The sequence below is a fragment of the Homo sapiens genome, chromosome 5 (assembly GCF_000001405.40).
Source record: "Homo sapiens chromosome 5, GRCh38.p14 Primary Assembly".
Taxonomy (NCBI): Eukaryota; Metazoa; Chordata; class Mammalia; order Primates; family Hominidae; genus Homo; species Homo sapiens.
In genome coordinates, this window is record NC_000005.10 from 87243304 (window position 1) to 87260538 (window position 17235).

General features: G+C 37.3%; 1 long non-coding RNA gene across 1 annotated transcript in view; it reads left to right on the forward strand.

Annotated features, from left to right (window-relative positions):
* Positions 1-4718, forward strand: part of LOC101929380 (uncharacterized) — a 127874-nt gene extending 123156 nt beyond the window's left edge. Inside the window, exons 3-4 of the long non-coding RNA NR_105018.1 lie at positions 643-904; positions 3754-4718. This is a non-coding gene — a long non-coding RNA (uncharacterized LOC101929380). The remainder of the gene's footprint in view (positions 1-642; positions 905-3753) is intronic.

A 17235-nucleotide genomic window follows, 5' to 3' on the forward strand; every position in this document is an offset into this window, starting at 1 on the left:
GTTGGGAAAGACAGAGAATTTCAGTCCAGCTTTGCTTTGACTACAGCAGAGTAACATTCACAGTGCTGGTGAGTCATAGCAAAGCATGGAAGTTGGTAATACCCTGGCCTCTCTGGTGCCTCAGGTTCAAATGTGGACCAACCGTGCCACTTAAGGATTATCAAATCTTGACCGCTTCTCATCCAGGATTATATTGAATAAATGGAAATTTCAACTGAACTGGCTAGGGTACTTCGACTTAACAGACATGAAACAGTTGAGATTAGGGTTGGAGTGGCTAGCACTTTTGAACACAAAATGATATGACAACACATTGTTTTATCCAGAAATGATACAACAAGCTCAGAAGTTAGGCAATAGTGAAGACTCTCAGGCAGAAAGACAAGGCCACAGGGAGGAAGTTGGCAACTGTTCTCAGTCACAAAGAAAGAAGGAAATCACAAGTGTATTCTCTCATGGGGCACTTTGTCTAGGGCACTTAACAAATTAGTTAAGGTAAGTTAACTGCCTAACAGCTATAAGAAGTTGACCCAAAATAATGATTCAAATATAATGAAAATTTATTTCTCTTATACATAAGCAGACCAAGGCAGCTGAAGGTTTTCATGTAGCATTGTTTGTTTGTTTTTTGGTCCACCACAGTCATCCAGGGACCAGGACTAAAGGAGACTGCTGACTTGCATACACATCTTCCAAGAACACACTGGGCATCAACATCCAACAAGCGAAAAAAGGAAGGAGCATGTAGGATGCCATGGACCTGGTCTAAAAATGACACACAGTACTTTCTCTAATATTCCACTGGCTGGATTTCATCTTAATGGGTATACCTAACTGCAGGGAATTCATACCTAACTGCAGCGAATTCATACCTAACTGCAAGGAATTCATACCTAACTGCAAGGTAATGTTTAGTGGTTCATCCAAGAATAAAAGGAAAAGGGTCTAGTAAACAGTGGTTAGCCTGTGCCAAAAACTTCCATATATACATGCTTGTAAACAATAATATTTTTAGTGTTTCTGCCCATACTCAAGGAAAAATTTAAGAGTATATACAACAGTCTTTGCTCTCTAGAAGGCTACAGGTTACTATGGATTATAGATGTTGGGAGGAGGTGGAAGTAGTCTATTTACTCCTACTCTTCTTAAGGTATTATTTTTACTTTGTAATAGATAGGGGAGGGGAGAAGACTCATATAGAACAACTGTGCCTCTTAAGAGAGTGGTTCTCTTTTAAGAGAAGAACAAATCACCAGACAGTGTTTGTGCTTTCATCAGATTGCAGGCCCCTAAAAACCTGGTTCCTCTTCACTGCCTTTTTTTAAATTCACCTTTCCTACCCTACTGCAATGACCTTGTATGTTTGTAGAAAGTATCTTTAGCATCATGAAATCAGTGTGAGGGATTCACCCCTGTCCAGCCCATCAGATTTTCCTTTGTGTGTGTGTGTTTGTCTGTGTGCGTGTGGTTGCTCTTTTTGATTTTTCTTTCTCTTTTTTTTTTTTTTTTTGAGACAGTTTCATTCTGTCACCCAGGCTGGAGTGCAGTGTTGCAATCTTGGCTCACTGCAACCTCTGCCTCCCAGGTTTAAGCGATCCTCTCACCTTGGCCACCCGAGTAGCTGGGATTACAGGCATATGACACCATACCCAGCTAATTTTTTTGTAGTTTTAGTAGAGATGGGGTCTCACCATGTTGGCCAGGCTGGTCTTGAACTCCTGACCTCAAGTGATACACTCTCCTCGGCCTCCAAAAGTGCTAGGATTACAGGCTTGAGCACTGCATCCAGCCACTCTTTTTGATTTCTTACAGTTCATATGAAGAGAAACAAATTTGTGCAATGAAATGTCCATGAAACAATTTAAACCCTTCACAAATTTTAGAAAGAAACTAAGGACAGGGATTTTTTTTATGTAACACTAACCCCAAAGCATTATCTTTATACACTAAATGCAGTATGCTATAGTAAGAATAAAGTCAAATACAGGCTATGTATATATTAAGATGCTAAGTGGAAAAAAGTTTGTTTCTTCAACTGATAACCTCTCTGTCTCCTGATCATTCCATTCTTAAATCCCAAGGTGCACTGAATTCAGAATTAGAAGACTCAGTTTTAGTTCTTGCTCTGCCACTCTGGCAACTACGAATTTTGGCAAACTAATTTTTCTATATGTATATCTTCATCTGTAAAATGGGAATAAGAACTGCTTTGCCTCACCAGGGTTTTGTCAAGTAGAAATGAGAAGCAACATTCACCTGACAACTTTATAAGTCACTTTACACATTACATTTTTGCACAATCACTAATGATCTTAGGATCAGAGTGTCAAGGATCCAACCCAGGGTGTTTTCTTATTCCTGACATTACCTCATGCTCTTGGCCATGGTTGTTGACCTTCAGGGCATTGTGCCCGAGATACCTTTTTGTGTTTTTATTCCGTTCCTGGTTTCCTGCTAGGATGTTTTTTTACTTCTGTTTTTTACAAAAAAATGTTGTTCTTTGGCAAATGTATTTCAGTTTATTGTGATGTTTATATTTTACACAAAATATAAATCTATTTTATTCAATTTAAAAATCAATTCATTTCAAAATGATTAAGAAATTTTAAAAGACCAATAGGTTTCAAAAAGTATTGCAAGAACTCAGAAGGTAGAGCAAAAAAAAGGAAATCCATTACTGCATCTTAATTATGAAAAAGTTGTTTTTTGACAAAATTTTGCTAATATGAAAACATTATAATGAAAGAAAAACTAAGTTTCATCATATAGTCTGTGGTAATAGGTAAAAATGTGTATGTAAATCTAATTTTTATAAGGTAATGAAAAAATATGAAAAAAACATTTTTTTCATGCTCACTAATGTTCCTTTATTTTCAGATCCCTGTTGTAGAGCTATTGGTTTACTCAGACTTTCCCTACAAAATAGTCACCATCTGCCTGATTAGTCTGTTTCCTTGGTATCCTGCCCATTCTTGTTACTTGAGTTTCTGCTCTATTTCAAGAAATGCACTCATTAGGGATGGTCACATCTGTGATCATTTGAAAAGAAGTATACATATTCAAAAAACATCTAATAGCACCTTGGCATTTCATTAAATATAAACAAGAAAAGTCTCTTTTTGACTGCCTTACTCTTAAATGCTAACAAAATATAGCATGATCTTTGAGGTCCCTTCCCGCATTTGGAAATTCCATGGGACTAAAATAAAAAAAAGAAGTGCTCAACACAACTCGGACATTTTCATTATATACACATTTATAAGCACATACAGAGAAAAAATGCCATCTGTTAAAAATAGTTAACTGAATACTAGCTGAGGATAAAAAATGTAAAACAGGTATATTTGCTTATTCTGATGACTATTTATATCTGGCTATCTCCTAAAACTCCGGAAGTGATAAGACAATACAAATAAACAGTATAGACACTTTTCCCCTTAAACTCTCTTAGAATGTATGCTCCACGTGGACTAGAATTTTTATCTGTTTTTTCACTAATGGGTGCTAAGTAACAGGACACATAGTTAAATATCTGGCTGTTTTGGGCAGAATTCTAAGATGGCCCTCCAAGATTCCCAGCCTCTGATGTATTCTCCTACTTATTCAAACACTAATCTAAGAATTGCTGTGAAGAGATTTTAGGGGTGTAATTAATGTTCCAAATCATTGACCTTAAGAAAGGGAGATCATCCTGGTGGGCCTGACCTAATCCCATGAGTCTTTAAAAACTCAGTGTTTCTCTGCTGATTTCAGAAGTCAGAGAGAAGCATATGACACGTTCAGAAGAAAGGAACTGCCATATTGTGGACAAGGTCACATGGCAGGGAATGGTGGGCAGCCTCTAGAAGCTAAGAGCAACCCCCAGCTGACAGCCAGCAAGACATCAGAGACTTCAGTCCTACTGCCCCAGAAACTGAATTCTGCCAACAACCTGGACGAGCCTGGACAGAAACCTGAGCCCAGAGTGAGAAATGCAGCCCCAGCCAACACCTGGATTTCAGCCTGATGAGACCCTGAGGAGAGAATCCAGTCATGTTGCATCTGGAATTCTGACCTAGAGAACTGTGAGTTTGTAAATTTGTGTTGTTTTAAGTTGCTAAGTTTGTGAAAATTTGTGATGCAGCAATAGAAAACTGATATCCTGTGCCTGGCGTGGTGGGTCATGCCTGTAATCCCAGCACTTTGTGGGGCTGAGGCGGGCAGATCACAAGGTCAGACGTTCGAGACCAGCCTGGCCAACATGGCGAAACCTCATCTCTACTAAAAATACAAAAATTAGCCGGGCATGGTGGCACGCACCTGTAATCCCAACTACTCAGGAGGCTGAGGCAGGAGAATCAATTGAACCTGGGAGGCAGAGGTTGCAGTGAGCCGAGATTGTGCCACCATACTCCATCCTGGGTGACAGAGTGAGACTCCGTCTCAAAAAAAACAAAAACAAACAAACAAAAAAAACTGATATCCTGTCCTATAGTAGGCATTTAATAAATATATGTGGAATGAATGAATGAATGAATGAAAGAAATTTTGATATGTTACATGGTAAAGGTAAGATAATTATAAGAAAGGCAAAATATGAAACTATACTTGTGATTTTAGAACTAAGTTCTGGATAGTTTTAATAACCACATATCTTGTATTATTTATATACATTCATGTGACATTAATATATCATCTTTAAATAAAAAATACTAAAATAAAAAACAATACATGAAAAAGGCATGTGTAATGTATATTATATATATTTGCATTAATATTTTACATTTAAATGAAAGAAGCTTAGAGTAAATTAGTCTACAAACCCACCTCAAATTTATTTTGAATGTAGGAAGAATATCATTTATACTTACATTTTTAGTTCATGAAACATAATTTACTTCACTTAGAATAGCTATACTATTAAATTTATGGTTGGACTTGCAATTAATACTTCGGAACTTTACCCTATCTTCCTTTTAAATATGGTGTATAAAATTGGAAAAGATTCAAATAAATATACAATCAATGTTCTCAGAAATCAGTGTATAAGGTTTCAGAAATTCACTAATTAAAGTTTGACTAAATGGTTAGGAAGAAAAATCAGCATGGATGTCATGATGTTACATAGAAAGTAAGGTTATAGGATCCAGAAGGAACAGTAAAAAAAATAATGTGTCGTGCTTTTTAAATACTTTGGCTTCTGTAGTGTATAGAAGATGCTTGATGGTCTTAACAGTATTTATTTATACATCATTGCTTTTCAAAAAGGATTTGAGGTGACTTAACATAAATCATTCACAAAGTTGAATAAACACAAATAAAAAAATAAAATGATAAAAAGAAGAAGCCAAAATGTTAATTTTAATGTCTAAAATAGTTGTTACTTAATTGAGCATTAAATTGGGCTTGGGCTACATATGCTGTCAGTAAGAAGATTACTATTTAAAAATATTAAGCAAAAATTATCAGTGGTCTTACAATTTCCCTTTGATCTGGCAACTCTTATGACCTCTTGTATTTTCCACAAAAAAAAAAAAAAAAAAAAAGGATTGCTTGAGCCCAGGAGTTTGAGACCAGCCTGAGCAACATAGCAAAACTCCAACTCTAAAAAAAAAATTTAATAAAATAAGTATGAGACAATGTCAAGTGCTGGAGAAGATGTGGAGAAACTGGAGTTTATGTTTGTTTCTCAGCCTGTAAATTGAAACAACACTTTAGAAAACTATTTGGCAATATCTAGTAAAGCTGAACATGTATAACATAAATTCAAGCAATTTCTTAATTAAAAAAATTTTTTGAGACAGGCTCACTCTGTCACCCTGGGTGGAGTGCAGTACACAAACACGGTTCACTGCAGCCTTGACCTGCTGGGCTCAAGCAATTCTCCCACCTCAGCCTCCTGAGTAGCTGAGACCACAGGTGCATGCTACCACACCTGGCTAGATTCTTTTTTTTTTTTTTTTTTTTTTTTAGAGGTGGGGTCTTGTCATGTTGCCCAGGCTGATCTCAAATTCTTGGGCTCAAGCAATCCTCCTGCCTTGGCTTCCCAAAGTGTTCAGATTACAAGTGTGAGCCACTGCACCCAGACCAAGAAATTTTAACCCTAACTAAATACCCAAAAAAAGTGTATATATGTTCCACAAAGGACATGGGTAAGAATGTTTATAGCAGCAGTATTTGTAATAGCCAGAAACTGGAAACAAGCCAAACATCTATCTACAGCAGAAGAGACTATTGTTTATTTATACAATAAACTACAATATAGCAATAAAATGAATGAGCTACAACAACAGAAATCAATTTCACAAACATAATACTGAGATAAAGAATACAGACACAAAAGAGAATATTTGGTATGAGTCCATTTATATGAAGTTCAGAAGTAAGCAAAGCTAATCTCTGGTGTTGGAAGTCAGGTTAGTGATTACCATTAGGGTAAGCGAGGTAGGAACTGGAAAGAAGTTTCTGAGATTCTGTCATTGTTTTATTTATTGACCTGGTGCTGATTTCTTGGGAGCACTTCTTTTACGAAAATCAATTGAGCAGTACATTATGATTTGTATACTTCTGTGCATATATAAATGAAATTGTATTCAAAAGTAAAACTAAAGCACCATCCATCCCACCACCAAAAAAACCCACTTAATTAATTTGTCATTATCTAAAATGTTGATTAACTGAAAATTAACATTTAAAAGGTTGTTAAACCTATTGCTGAAACTTCAGGAAAAAATAAGAGTATTAAATACCGATTTGAAATTTAAAAGCATGCAAATTATAAACTATAGATCTCTCTGTCTCACACATACATACACACACACACACACACACACACACACACACAAGCCCACACACACCCATGGTTTCATACCTTTATGTGTAGTACCAAAGATTATTATTCATAATTAATATCCGAACATCAATTTGCACTTCAGGAAAAAATAAGAGTATTAAATACCCATTTGAAATTTAAAAGCATGCAAATTATAAACTATAGATCTCTCTGTCTCACACATACACACACACACACACACATACACACACACATGCCCACACACACCATGGTTTCATACCTTTATGTGTAGTACCAAAGATGATTATTCATAATTAATATCCGAACATCAATTTGCATTTTCAACATGTAACCAAAAGCATTCTCAACTGAATTATATGATTAACTAAGATTGAGGAAAAGGTTATGGTCTGTCAGTGATAATTAATCTTCTAATAAGTTATTCTAAAAAATTAAAATGATAACCCAAATGCAATTTATCAACGAATCCATACCAGAGGCCATTAAACCTAAGACTTAGATAATTAAGGCCAAAAAATATATAAATTGAGGGTATCAGTGTCTAAAAATTCAAAAGCAGGATATGATACAAATATTTAATATATAAGTTAAAGATTGCAGATTATAATAAAGTTATAGGTGCTGTGCTAATTTTCTTTTGCTATATAACAAATTGTCACAAATTTAACAAATTGAGGGCCTTCCTCAATTTGCTTTTCCCTCCTTTCCACTACTTCTTTTTACAAATTATCCCCTTTAGTTCAGCTTTTCTTTTATTATTATCATTAGATTATATTATTTTTTAAAAAAATTTTATTTTATTTTAGGTTCTGGGATATATGTGCAGGACATACAGGTTTGTTACATAGGTAAATGTGTGCCATGGCAGTTGGCTCCACCTATGAACCCATCACCCAGGTATTAAGCCCCATATGCATTAGTTATTTATCCTAATGGTCTCCTGCCGCGCCCCCCACCCCCCGCGCCACCCCCCATCCCCCCACACAGGCCCCAGTTTGGGTTCTTCCCCTTTTCAATACTTACTTTTACTACTTCTGTTACGGGAGCTTTGCAGTGTCACTTTTCCTGACAGAAACCTCTGTGGTTGGTGGCACCTTTGCCTGAGTTCTTGTCCTGCATCCAGGAAGAATGAGGTTCGCAGTCAGTGGGGTGAACAAGACCAAGAGGAGCTTTACTGAGTGTTAAAACAGCTCAGAGGAGGCCCTGGAGAGGGTAGTTCCCCTGCAGCTGGTAGTCTTGTCCCCTCTAACGGCAGAGAGGGTAGGTCGTCTCTATTTTTTTTTTTTTTTTTTTTTTCCGAGACTGAGTCTCGCTCTTTCACCCAGGCTGGAGTGCAGTGGCCCATCTCGGCTCACTGCAACCTCCACCTCCAGGGTTCAAGGGATTCTCAATTCTCACGCCTCAGCCTCCCGAGTAGCTGGGATTACAGGCGCCTGCCACCACACCCAGCTAATTTTTGTATTTTCAGTAGAGGCAGGGTTTCCCCATATTGGCCAGGCTGGTCTCGAACTCCTGACAACCGTAGCTGCTCTCTGCAGCTGGTCATCAGGTCCTCTTTCCTGCGCTGACTGAGCCCAGGGCTTTTATAGGCCTTAGAGGGGGGAAGTGCATGCTGATTGGTCCATGGGCAGCCATGGGCGGGCCCAGGAAAAAGCACCATGAATCCCCCTCCCATCAGCAGGACTGGCCAACCTGCCCCCAGGCTGAGGCCTGCCCTGGCCTGAAGGTGGGACTTCACGGGTCACCCACCCACTTCCGCCCAGGAGCATGTCTGCTTCCCCTGGCATCCATGGCTGGCACCAAGGGGAACCTGCAGTGCCCAGGTACCCTCAGCTCCCCCTCAGCTTCCCCTCACGCTTCTCCACTCCCAAAGTCTGGAGAGGGCTGAGGTAGCAGGGGGCTGACGTGTCACCGCTGACCCGTGCACACACCCGGAGGGGATGTGACAGCACCCTAGCTCAGCCCCAACCCCAATCGGAGATCTGATTGGCGCCGGGAGTGGGGAGAGGCCAGGCAGCTGGAGCAGGTACCTCTGAGCCTGCGAGGGGAAGGGGGGCCTTCTCAGACCTCCTAAGAGTTCAGGGATGCCCCGCCTCTTGGGCGGGGCTCCTGCTACTCTGGGTTCCCAAGAGCACCGGGGCCGGAATGCAGCCCGCTTGGGTGGCTGCAGTTGTACCTGGAGAGCTCCCGCCTGGCCAACTTGGAAAGAGCAGGGCTCCCGGTTGTTCCCAGCTCCCACTGGCGCAGTGGGCACCCAGCCGCACCTCCTGGCAGCCAGGGACGGGGGCTCCAGGTCATCCCTTGACCTGCGCCACCATCTGGTATAGGGGCGAGCTTGCTATGAGCTACCCCTGTGTCCCAGCGCTCAGGGACTGGCTGGAGCACCGCCTGTGAGCTCAGCGCAACCATGCCAGGCCTTATCACCACGGCCCCCAAGGTAGCGGGCTGCAGGGAGCGGGGAGGGCGGAAGGTGGGCTGTACACCTCCTCCCCTTGCCGTGCCCAGCGTGATGGCAGCAGCCACATCAGACAGCCAGCGGCTGCCATCACTTCCATGCCGGTGCCTTTTTTTTTTTTTAAGACGGAATCTCACTCTGTCGCCCAGGCTGTAGTGCAGTGGTGCGATCTCGGCTCACTGCAACGTGCGCCTCCCAGGTTCAAGCGATTTTCTTGTCTCAGCCTCCTGAGTAGCTGAGACTACATGCGCGGGCCACCACACCCGGCTCATTTTTTCTATTTTTAGTAGAGACTGGGTTTCACCGTGTTAGCCAGGTTGGTCTCGATTTCGTGACCTTGTGATCCGCGATCCGCCTGCCTTGGCCTCCCAAAGTGCTGGAATTGCAGATGTGAGCCACCGCGCCTGGCCTCTTTTTTTTTTTTTTTTTTTTGAGGTGGAGTCTTCCGCCCAGGCTGGAGTACAGTGGCGCGATCTTGGCTCACTGCAACCTCCACCTCCGGGGTTCAAGCGATTCTCCTGCCTCAGCCTCTTCAGTAGCTGGGATCACAGGCACGCGCCACTACGCCTGGCTAATTTTTTTGTATTTTTAGTAGAGACGGGGTTCCACCATGTTGGCCAGGCTGATCTCGAACTCCTGACCTCATGATCTGCCCGCCTCGACCTCCCAAAGTGCTGGGATTACAGGTGTGAGCCACCGTGTCCAGCCCTGTGCCTATCTTTTTTACGTCTCTTCTTTTGGCTACGTTTCTCCCCACTACCTAATTACTACTCAGCTATGGAGGATCAGTATCATCTCATATCGTCTGTGAAGTCTTTCCTATTTCAACCCAGGATGCATTTCCATTTCTGACCTTTCACAGTACTTGTTATTTGTAACCTTTTTTAAAAAAAAAAAAAAACACATATTATCTGATAATATAGGCAGTTGATTTTTTTTGTAAGTACGTATGTGTCGAATAATATCTTGACCAGATCCCCAGCTCTTTTAGGAGCAAAACTGTTTATTTTGTGTCTCAGTACCCACAACCCTGACTTTAACATACATAAATGAATTTTCCTTCTTTCAGAATCATTTTCCTGTCTAATAACTAATCCCTGTAGACAAGTCATTATCATGTAGTTAAACCATTTTCTATACAAATTTTATTTTGAAAGTGAAAAGTAACTCGTAAAAAATTTACATTTGCTATTACTTAATACCCAAAATAGCAAGTTTTTAAAAAAAGATGTCTTGACGAAAGTTCTACAGAAAGTCTACAAAAATAACAAGCCCTCCATCCGGTGTATTTTTGTTTTCTCCAAAGTGCATTCTCTCCTGTTTTGTACCTCCAAAGCACTATGCCTTTGACACTGTAGTCACCCCATAATAACTATCCGTACTGAGCATTAACTTTGGCCCAGGCACTCTGCTCAGTATTTTGTGAATATTATCTCCAAACCTTACCCTCATGTTACTGTAGCCACTTTTACTCCTACTTCACTTAGAGAAACACAGACTTCCATTACCAGCAAAGTGCAATCTATATCTGAAAAACTTCCAATGAAACAACAAAAAATTGCTGGATAAAAATAACAAACCTACTTTTAAATGCATAGCTGAGCTTGCAAGAGAGTAAGGAAATCCCCAGAGGTCAAACGTGAAGACAAAACTAAAAACTAGATCTCAAAATGTGAATTGGTGCTGGACTTGTCTTAGGGTAGGGCAAAGGATGTGTTTTCATTCACATAGATATACAGGGAGGTAAAGCTCGGATGAGGCAAGGTAGAGGCTTAGAACTGAGGCCCTCTACAAAAAGATGGACTCACTAGAATCCAGTGAAAGTTGTGAAGTAAGAAAAAAAAAAAATGACACCAGGGGGCAGGAAAGTTTGTCATCTTACTACATTCTGGGTCCGAAAACAGTCTCCTCTTAGAATTTACCTCAGAGCAGCATTCAGATTTGAGATTAGAATTTACACTCTCTATAGGGCCTGAAGACCTTTAAGCCAAGAAATTCCAGTCTCAGTGCCAAGTCTCTACCTCTTATTCTTAGGCTTACTCTCCTCTCTGTGTCCATGAATATGAAAGCTAATAATACTCACGGGGAGCCTTGTAGAAGCAAATACCAAATCACTCTAAGAAGTGACCCTCTTTTGCCCTGGTAATATTTTTGCTTTGAAATTCATTTTTCATCCTTATTTTGATTAGTATTGGCAGGGTATATCTTTTCCTATCCTTTTCTTTTTTAATTATGCCTTATTTAAAGTAGGTTTTTTTGTAGATAGAATATAGTTGGATTTTGCTTTTTTGTCCAATCTGTTAATGTGTGCCTTGTCATTAGGGTGTTGACTTCAGGGGGACCTTCCACAGATCTCTTGAATTCTCTTTTTACATAGCTTTCTCCTTCTTAATACTCTGATCTATAAACTCTGGTCTCCTTGGCCTTTCCATATTTCCACTTCCATCTCCTCACTTCAGAAAACCTGGCAGTCTCTTTCTATGCACCCTTTTCTTGGAAATCCTCATTTGTTTCCCATCTCTCCTTGGAGCTCTCTTTATGTTCCTATCTCTTAGGAATCATTGTCTTTTTTGCTCAATGTTGGCTGTCTTTAAAAACAGTTGTTTCATATATTCTGTCCAGATTTTTTGTTGTTTCAGGCAGAAGGGTAAATCCAGTCCCTGTTTTTTCGTCTTGCTTAGATGTGGAAGTATAAACTATTCTAGAAGGACACACCATGCAGGATTCAAACAGATAACACTGTGGTTAAAATGTACTCACAATCCAAAGTTACAAAACATGTGAAATAGTCTGTTGTGAGGTAAGGTCAATAAATACAACAAACAACATGTTTAGACCCCCCAAAAAACTTTAGAAAATAGAATTATTAGATATTAACTATGAAGTGAGTATGTTTCAAATGATTCAAGATATGAAATAAAAAATGGAAAAAAGAACATTATATTTTCAAATGATACCAGGGAATATTGAGAAAATACCAAATAGAATTTCTAGAACTAAAAAAAAGTCATTAAAATTACATAGATAGAAATAAAAGTTCATTAAGTTTTATTTGCCTAAAATCACCCCACTCTGCATGCTAGATCTGAAACACAAGCTGTTCTAGGTAAAAACAATGCCTATGATCTTTTTATTATACTTTGTCTTGAATTTAGTGAAAAAAATAATGAGCAATGAGGGAATTTAATATATGTCTCCTGCCAATCATTCCATTTAACCTTAATATTTGAGTCATTAATAAAATAACATCTTTATAATGGTGACCTTAAGGAACAGCATTAATACACACACTTTAGGTTAACTTATGTAAAGTTTATATAGAACTAAAACTTGAATAAAACTGGGCTTACTTTATTTCAACCTCAGATCAGTGTCAATTTAGAAACACATCCCAAATAAATACAAATATGACTGTAAAACCTAATCATATATATTCTAATTACCCTTCAGAACTTTGTAAAAATAATCTTTATAATCTTCTTTTTACCAGGGTTTCTTTTCTCTCCTGCCTACCAAAATAAAACAACAATAAAAAGACACAACGCTGCTCTCCACCTTTAGCTTGTTTTTTCTTCTATTTCTTCCTTCGTTGCCCTCTCTTTATTATATAAAGCAAGCCAGTCTTATTCAGTTTCTTTCATTTACATCTTTGCAAAGTGCTGGAAAACAAGTTTTGATTTTTTTTTTTTTTTTGTAGAAGAATGGGATAAGAATAAACATGATATAACTTTTGGCTTGAATTACCAACAAGAAGGATCTGGTTGGGAACAAAGCACATCACGTTCTCAGAAACCTTTCCTCTTGTTCATTTAATTATACTTTTGTAGAAGTGAATCCTGGTGAAAATAAAGCTATATGATTGGAAAAATCTGAGTGAGAATTGAATACAAATACGGCTTTAATGAACATCAAGCTTTTTCAGTCTTAGTTCACTTCAAATAAGGAATATGTGAATCTTAGAGTTGAAATGGCAATCAGGTTTGTTTATTTATTTTGGTCCTTACTAATCTAAATGCCATACTGTTTTTAAAAGCTAAATTTGCTTTAACAGCTCAAAACTATAGTGCAGAGAAAGACTCTTTGTTAACAAAAATAATAAATACCTAAGATACTATGACATAATGTCCCAAAATTTGGGATGTAATATTGACTCGTAACAACTAGTCATCCACACTAATAGAGTGTTGTGATTCGACTTCTAACGGAAAGGCATTCTGTTTTCTGGAATATTTTGTAGATGTCTTCAGATCCAGTTTGTACTATCCTTCATGCTTTTCCTTCTTTTCGGCTGGACATGAGTTATTTCCAAATACTTGAGAATTGGTAACTTTTTTTACCAGTTGTTGGTTGATTTGAATGCATCTTTCTGAGGCGAGTCCTCTTCACCTCCCGCTGGAAACTTTTCTCTGATTTGTCTAAGGATCTTTACACAAAGTCAGGTATAAATGACCAACAAAATTTTAAAGCATTTCTCTTTTTATTATGGGATTTTTTCAAACATACAGAAAAGGTAGAATGAATACTGTGTGTACCATCACCTAGCTTTAACAAGTATCAATATTTTGTCAGTTTTATAATAAATTATCTCTTCTCAAATGTATTTGATAAGGATACATATTATTTTAAGCAGATCTTCTTGTAACCCCATGTTCCTAACTTGGATCATACCTTTAAGTAGTTGTGTTCTATGTCTGCGGATAAAAAAAATCATCATCTACTCAGAGGAAAAGGAGATTAATGAAGTGTATCTCCTCCAGAGAAGTGATTCCTTCCTTCTTTAAATAATATAATGTTTAGGAAGGGCACAGCAGCTCACGCCTGTAATCCCAGCATCTTGGGAGGCTGAGGCGGGTGGCACCTGAGGTCAGGAATTTGAGACCAGCCTGGCCGACGTGACAAAAGCCCACCTCTACTAAAAATACAAAAATTAGCCAGGCATGGTGGTGGGCACCTATAATCCCAGCTACTCGGGAGGCTGAGGCAGGAGAATCGCTTGAACCTGGGAGGTGGAGGTTGTAGTGAGCTGAGATCGCACCACTGCACTCCAGTCTGGGCAACAGAGCAAGGCTCCATCTCAAAAAAAAAAAAAAATATATATATATATATAAATATATAATACTATAAATATATAATATATTTATATATGTATATATGAAATATATAATATATAATATGTTTATATACGTATATATAATATATAATATGTTTATATACGTATATATAATATATAATATGTTTATATACGTATATATAATATATAATATATTATATATTATATATATAATATTATATATTATATATATAATATAATATTATATATATATATTATATAATATTATATATTATATATTATATATTATAATATATAATATATTTATATATTATATATACATATATAATATATTATATATGTATATATAATATATAATATATTTATATATGTATATATAATATATAATATATTTATATATTGTATATAATATATAATATATTATATATGTATATATAATATAATATATAATATATTTATATATGTATATATTATATTATATATATATAAATTTAATATATATATTTTGTAAAGTTTAACTACAGAAGGCCTGCATTTAACTTTTCAAAAGTTGTGGAGCTAGAAATTTCTTTGACGAGAAAAAAAGATTTTAATCAAATTTTGGATAGATCATTATATTTCTCACATATTTGTGGAGTTTTCTCTTTTCCACCTTGGTATTTTCACTCCAAAGTGGATGTTTGTATGGGGTGGAGAAAGAGAGAGTAATTTCAAGCAGGTTGTTCTTGATCTGTCATTACCCAAACTTTTAAATCTAACAAAAGCTTTTCCTGAATGCTAGAGATAATTAAAATATGAAAGTCCTAATGTTATTTCCTCCTTTTAATAATATCTCACTGCTGAGAGTGAAAAATTTGTTTAAAGTTGAATAACTGGGTAATGGGAGAAAAAGCAAAGATAATAACTAAGTGCATGAAAGGATAAAGTTATATAAAGGGGGAAAAAGATAGATAACTATACACCAAAATAAATTCCAGGTGAATCAAATATTTAAGCAACATGAAAATTGAAACCAAAAAAGCACCAGAAGATAACTTGAGAGAGTTTCTAAAAATAGTCTTGTAATAGAGGTGTTTTTAACTATGACACAAGTCTAGAAGCCATGAAGGAACCCAACTGGATCACATGGCCGTTTAGTTGCAAGGTTAGCTGGGAAAAGTTCAGTTAGCAAGAAAGGAGATGGGAAGAGGATTCTGGATAAGCAACTAACAGAATCTTCTATAATCACTGTGTTATTTCCCTGTAGAATTCTTTTTTTTTTTTTTTTTTTTTTTTTTGAGGCAAAGTCTCACTCTGTTGCCAGGCTGGAGTGCAGTGGCACCATCTCAGCTCACTGCAACCTCTGCATCCTGGATTCAAGCGATTCTCCTGCCTCAACCTCCTGAGTAGCTGGGACTACTCTTATAAGTGCATTGCCTGATTTTATCTTTCAATGTTTTAATTACTTCAGTAAAAATGAATGCTAATATATCAAAACAATCAGAAAATATAATATATAAAATATTTGCTACTATAGAATATGACAAAAAATTATACGTACTGTTGTTATGAAATAATGAATTCATATTAAACAGTTATAGAAAACATGTTTGTGTAGTCCATGTAAAATGAAAGAAAATGTTAATATATATTAACTTATTAAAAAAGAAAAATATAATTTAAAAATAAAAATATTTGCCATAAGGGATAGAAAATTGTTTCAGATGAAAATGAATCGAGTTTTATTCCTTTAATAAAACTTTTACTTATATCTTTATTTATATCAAATGAATCAATGATATAAAGACTTTATAGCTGCAAAATATAAAGAAATAACAAGTATAGGCTGGGCGCGGTGGGTCACGCCTGTAATCCCAATACTTTGGGAGACCGAGGCGGGTGGATCACCTGAGGTCGGGAGTTCAAGACCAGCCTGACCAACATGGAGAAACCCCATCTCTACTAAAAATAAAAAATTAGCCGGGCATGGTGGTGCACACCTGCTATCCCAGCTACTCGGGAGGCTGAGGCAGGAGAATCGCTTGAACCTGGGGGGCGGAGTTTGCAGTGAGCCGAGATTGTGCCCTTGCACTCCAGCCTGGGCAATGAGAATGAAACTCCGTCTCGAAAGAAAAAAAAAAAAAGGAAAGAAATAATAAGTATAACCACTTACTCTTTCAATAATTATTTAATTAGATGAATTTATTCCTGTGATGCTATGATGATTGGTTTTGTGGAACAAAAGAGCTAAACAGGCTTATATTGTCTAAGAACCAGGATTATATAAGCAGCATATCATACATGACCTCTATTGGAAGGCTCAGGAAATAAGAACATCAATACATAATTCATTTAAGAAACCTCAGGCCAAAATAATCTCATGCTTTGATTAATACCAAGTCTTAAAAGACTGATTATTTTACTTGAGGAAAGTACAATTGTAAACCAGTCAGGCTATGTGCATAAGTCATACATTTTTAGGTGACTAGAAAAATAATATGTTGCTGTATTTTTTAACCTACTATATTTGTTTGATTTTCAAACCAAAAATTCTTAACACACTTTTCTAGTTGATTCAAGCAACCTAAGCCAATAGGTGTTGCTTTCCATGCATATAACAAATGTGGGAACTGAGACTCAGAGAAGTTAATTAACTTGGCCAAGTTATGGAGCTAGTAGCGGCAGAGGTGCCAATCAAACAGTCTATCTCTGGCAGGATTCTAGGTTTGGGGCTAACTTACTATGTCTATATTATTATACTGTAACACTCTGTGAACTCCCAACAAAAACTGTCAAGTGACAACAAAATCCATAAAGATTTCAAGTTAGTTTAGTTTTTCTTTCCTTAACATAATCAATCTTAGTGTTAAATGCTGCATTTATTTATGTGGTTACTTGATTAAATGTCTGCCTCTCTTCTCTCTAAACTGTATGCCC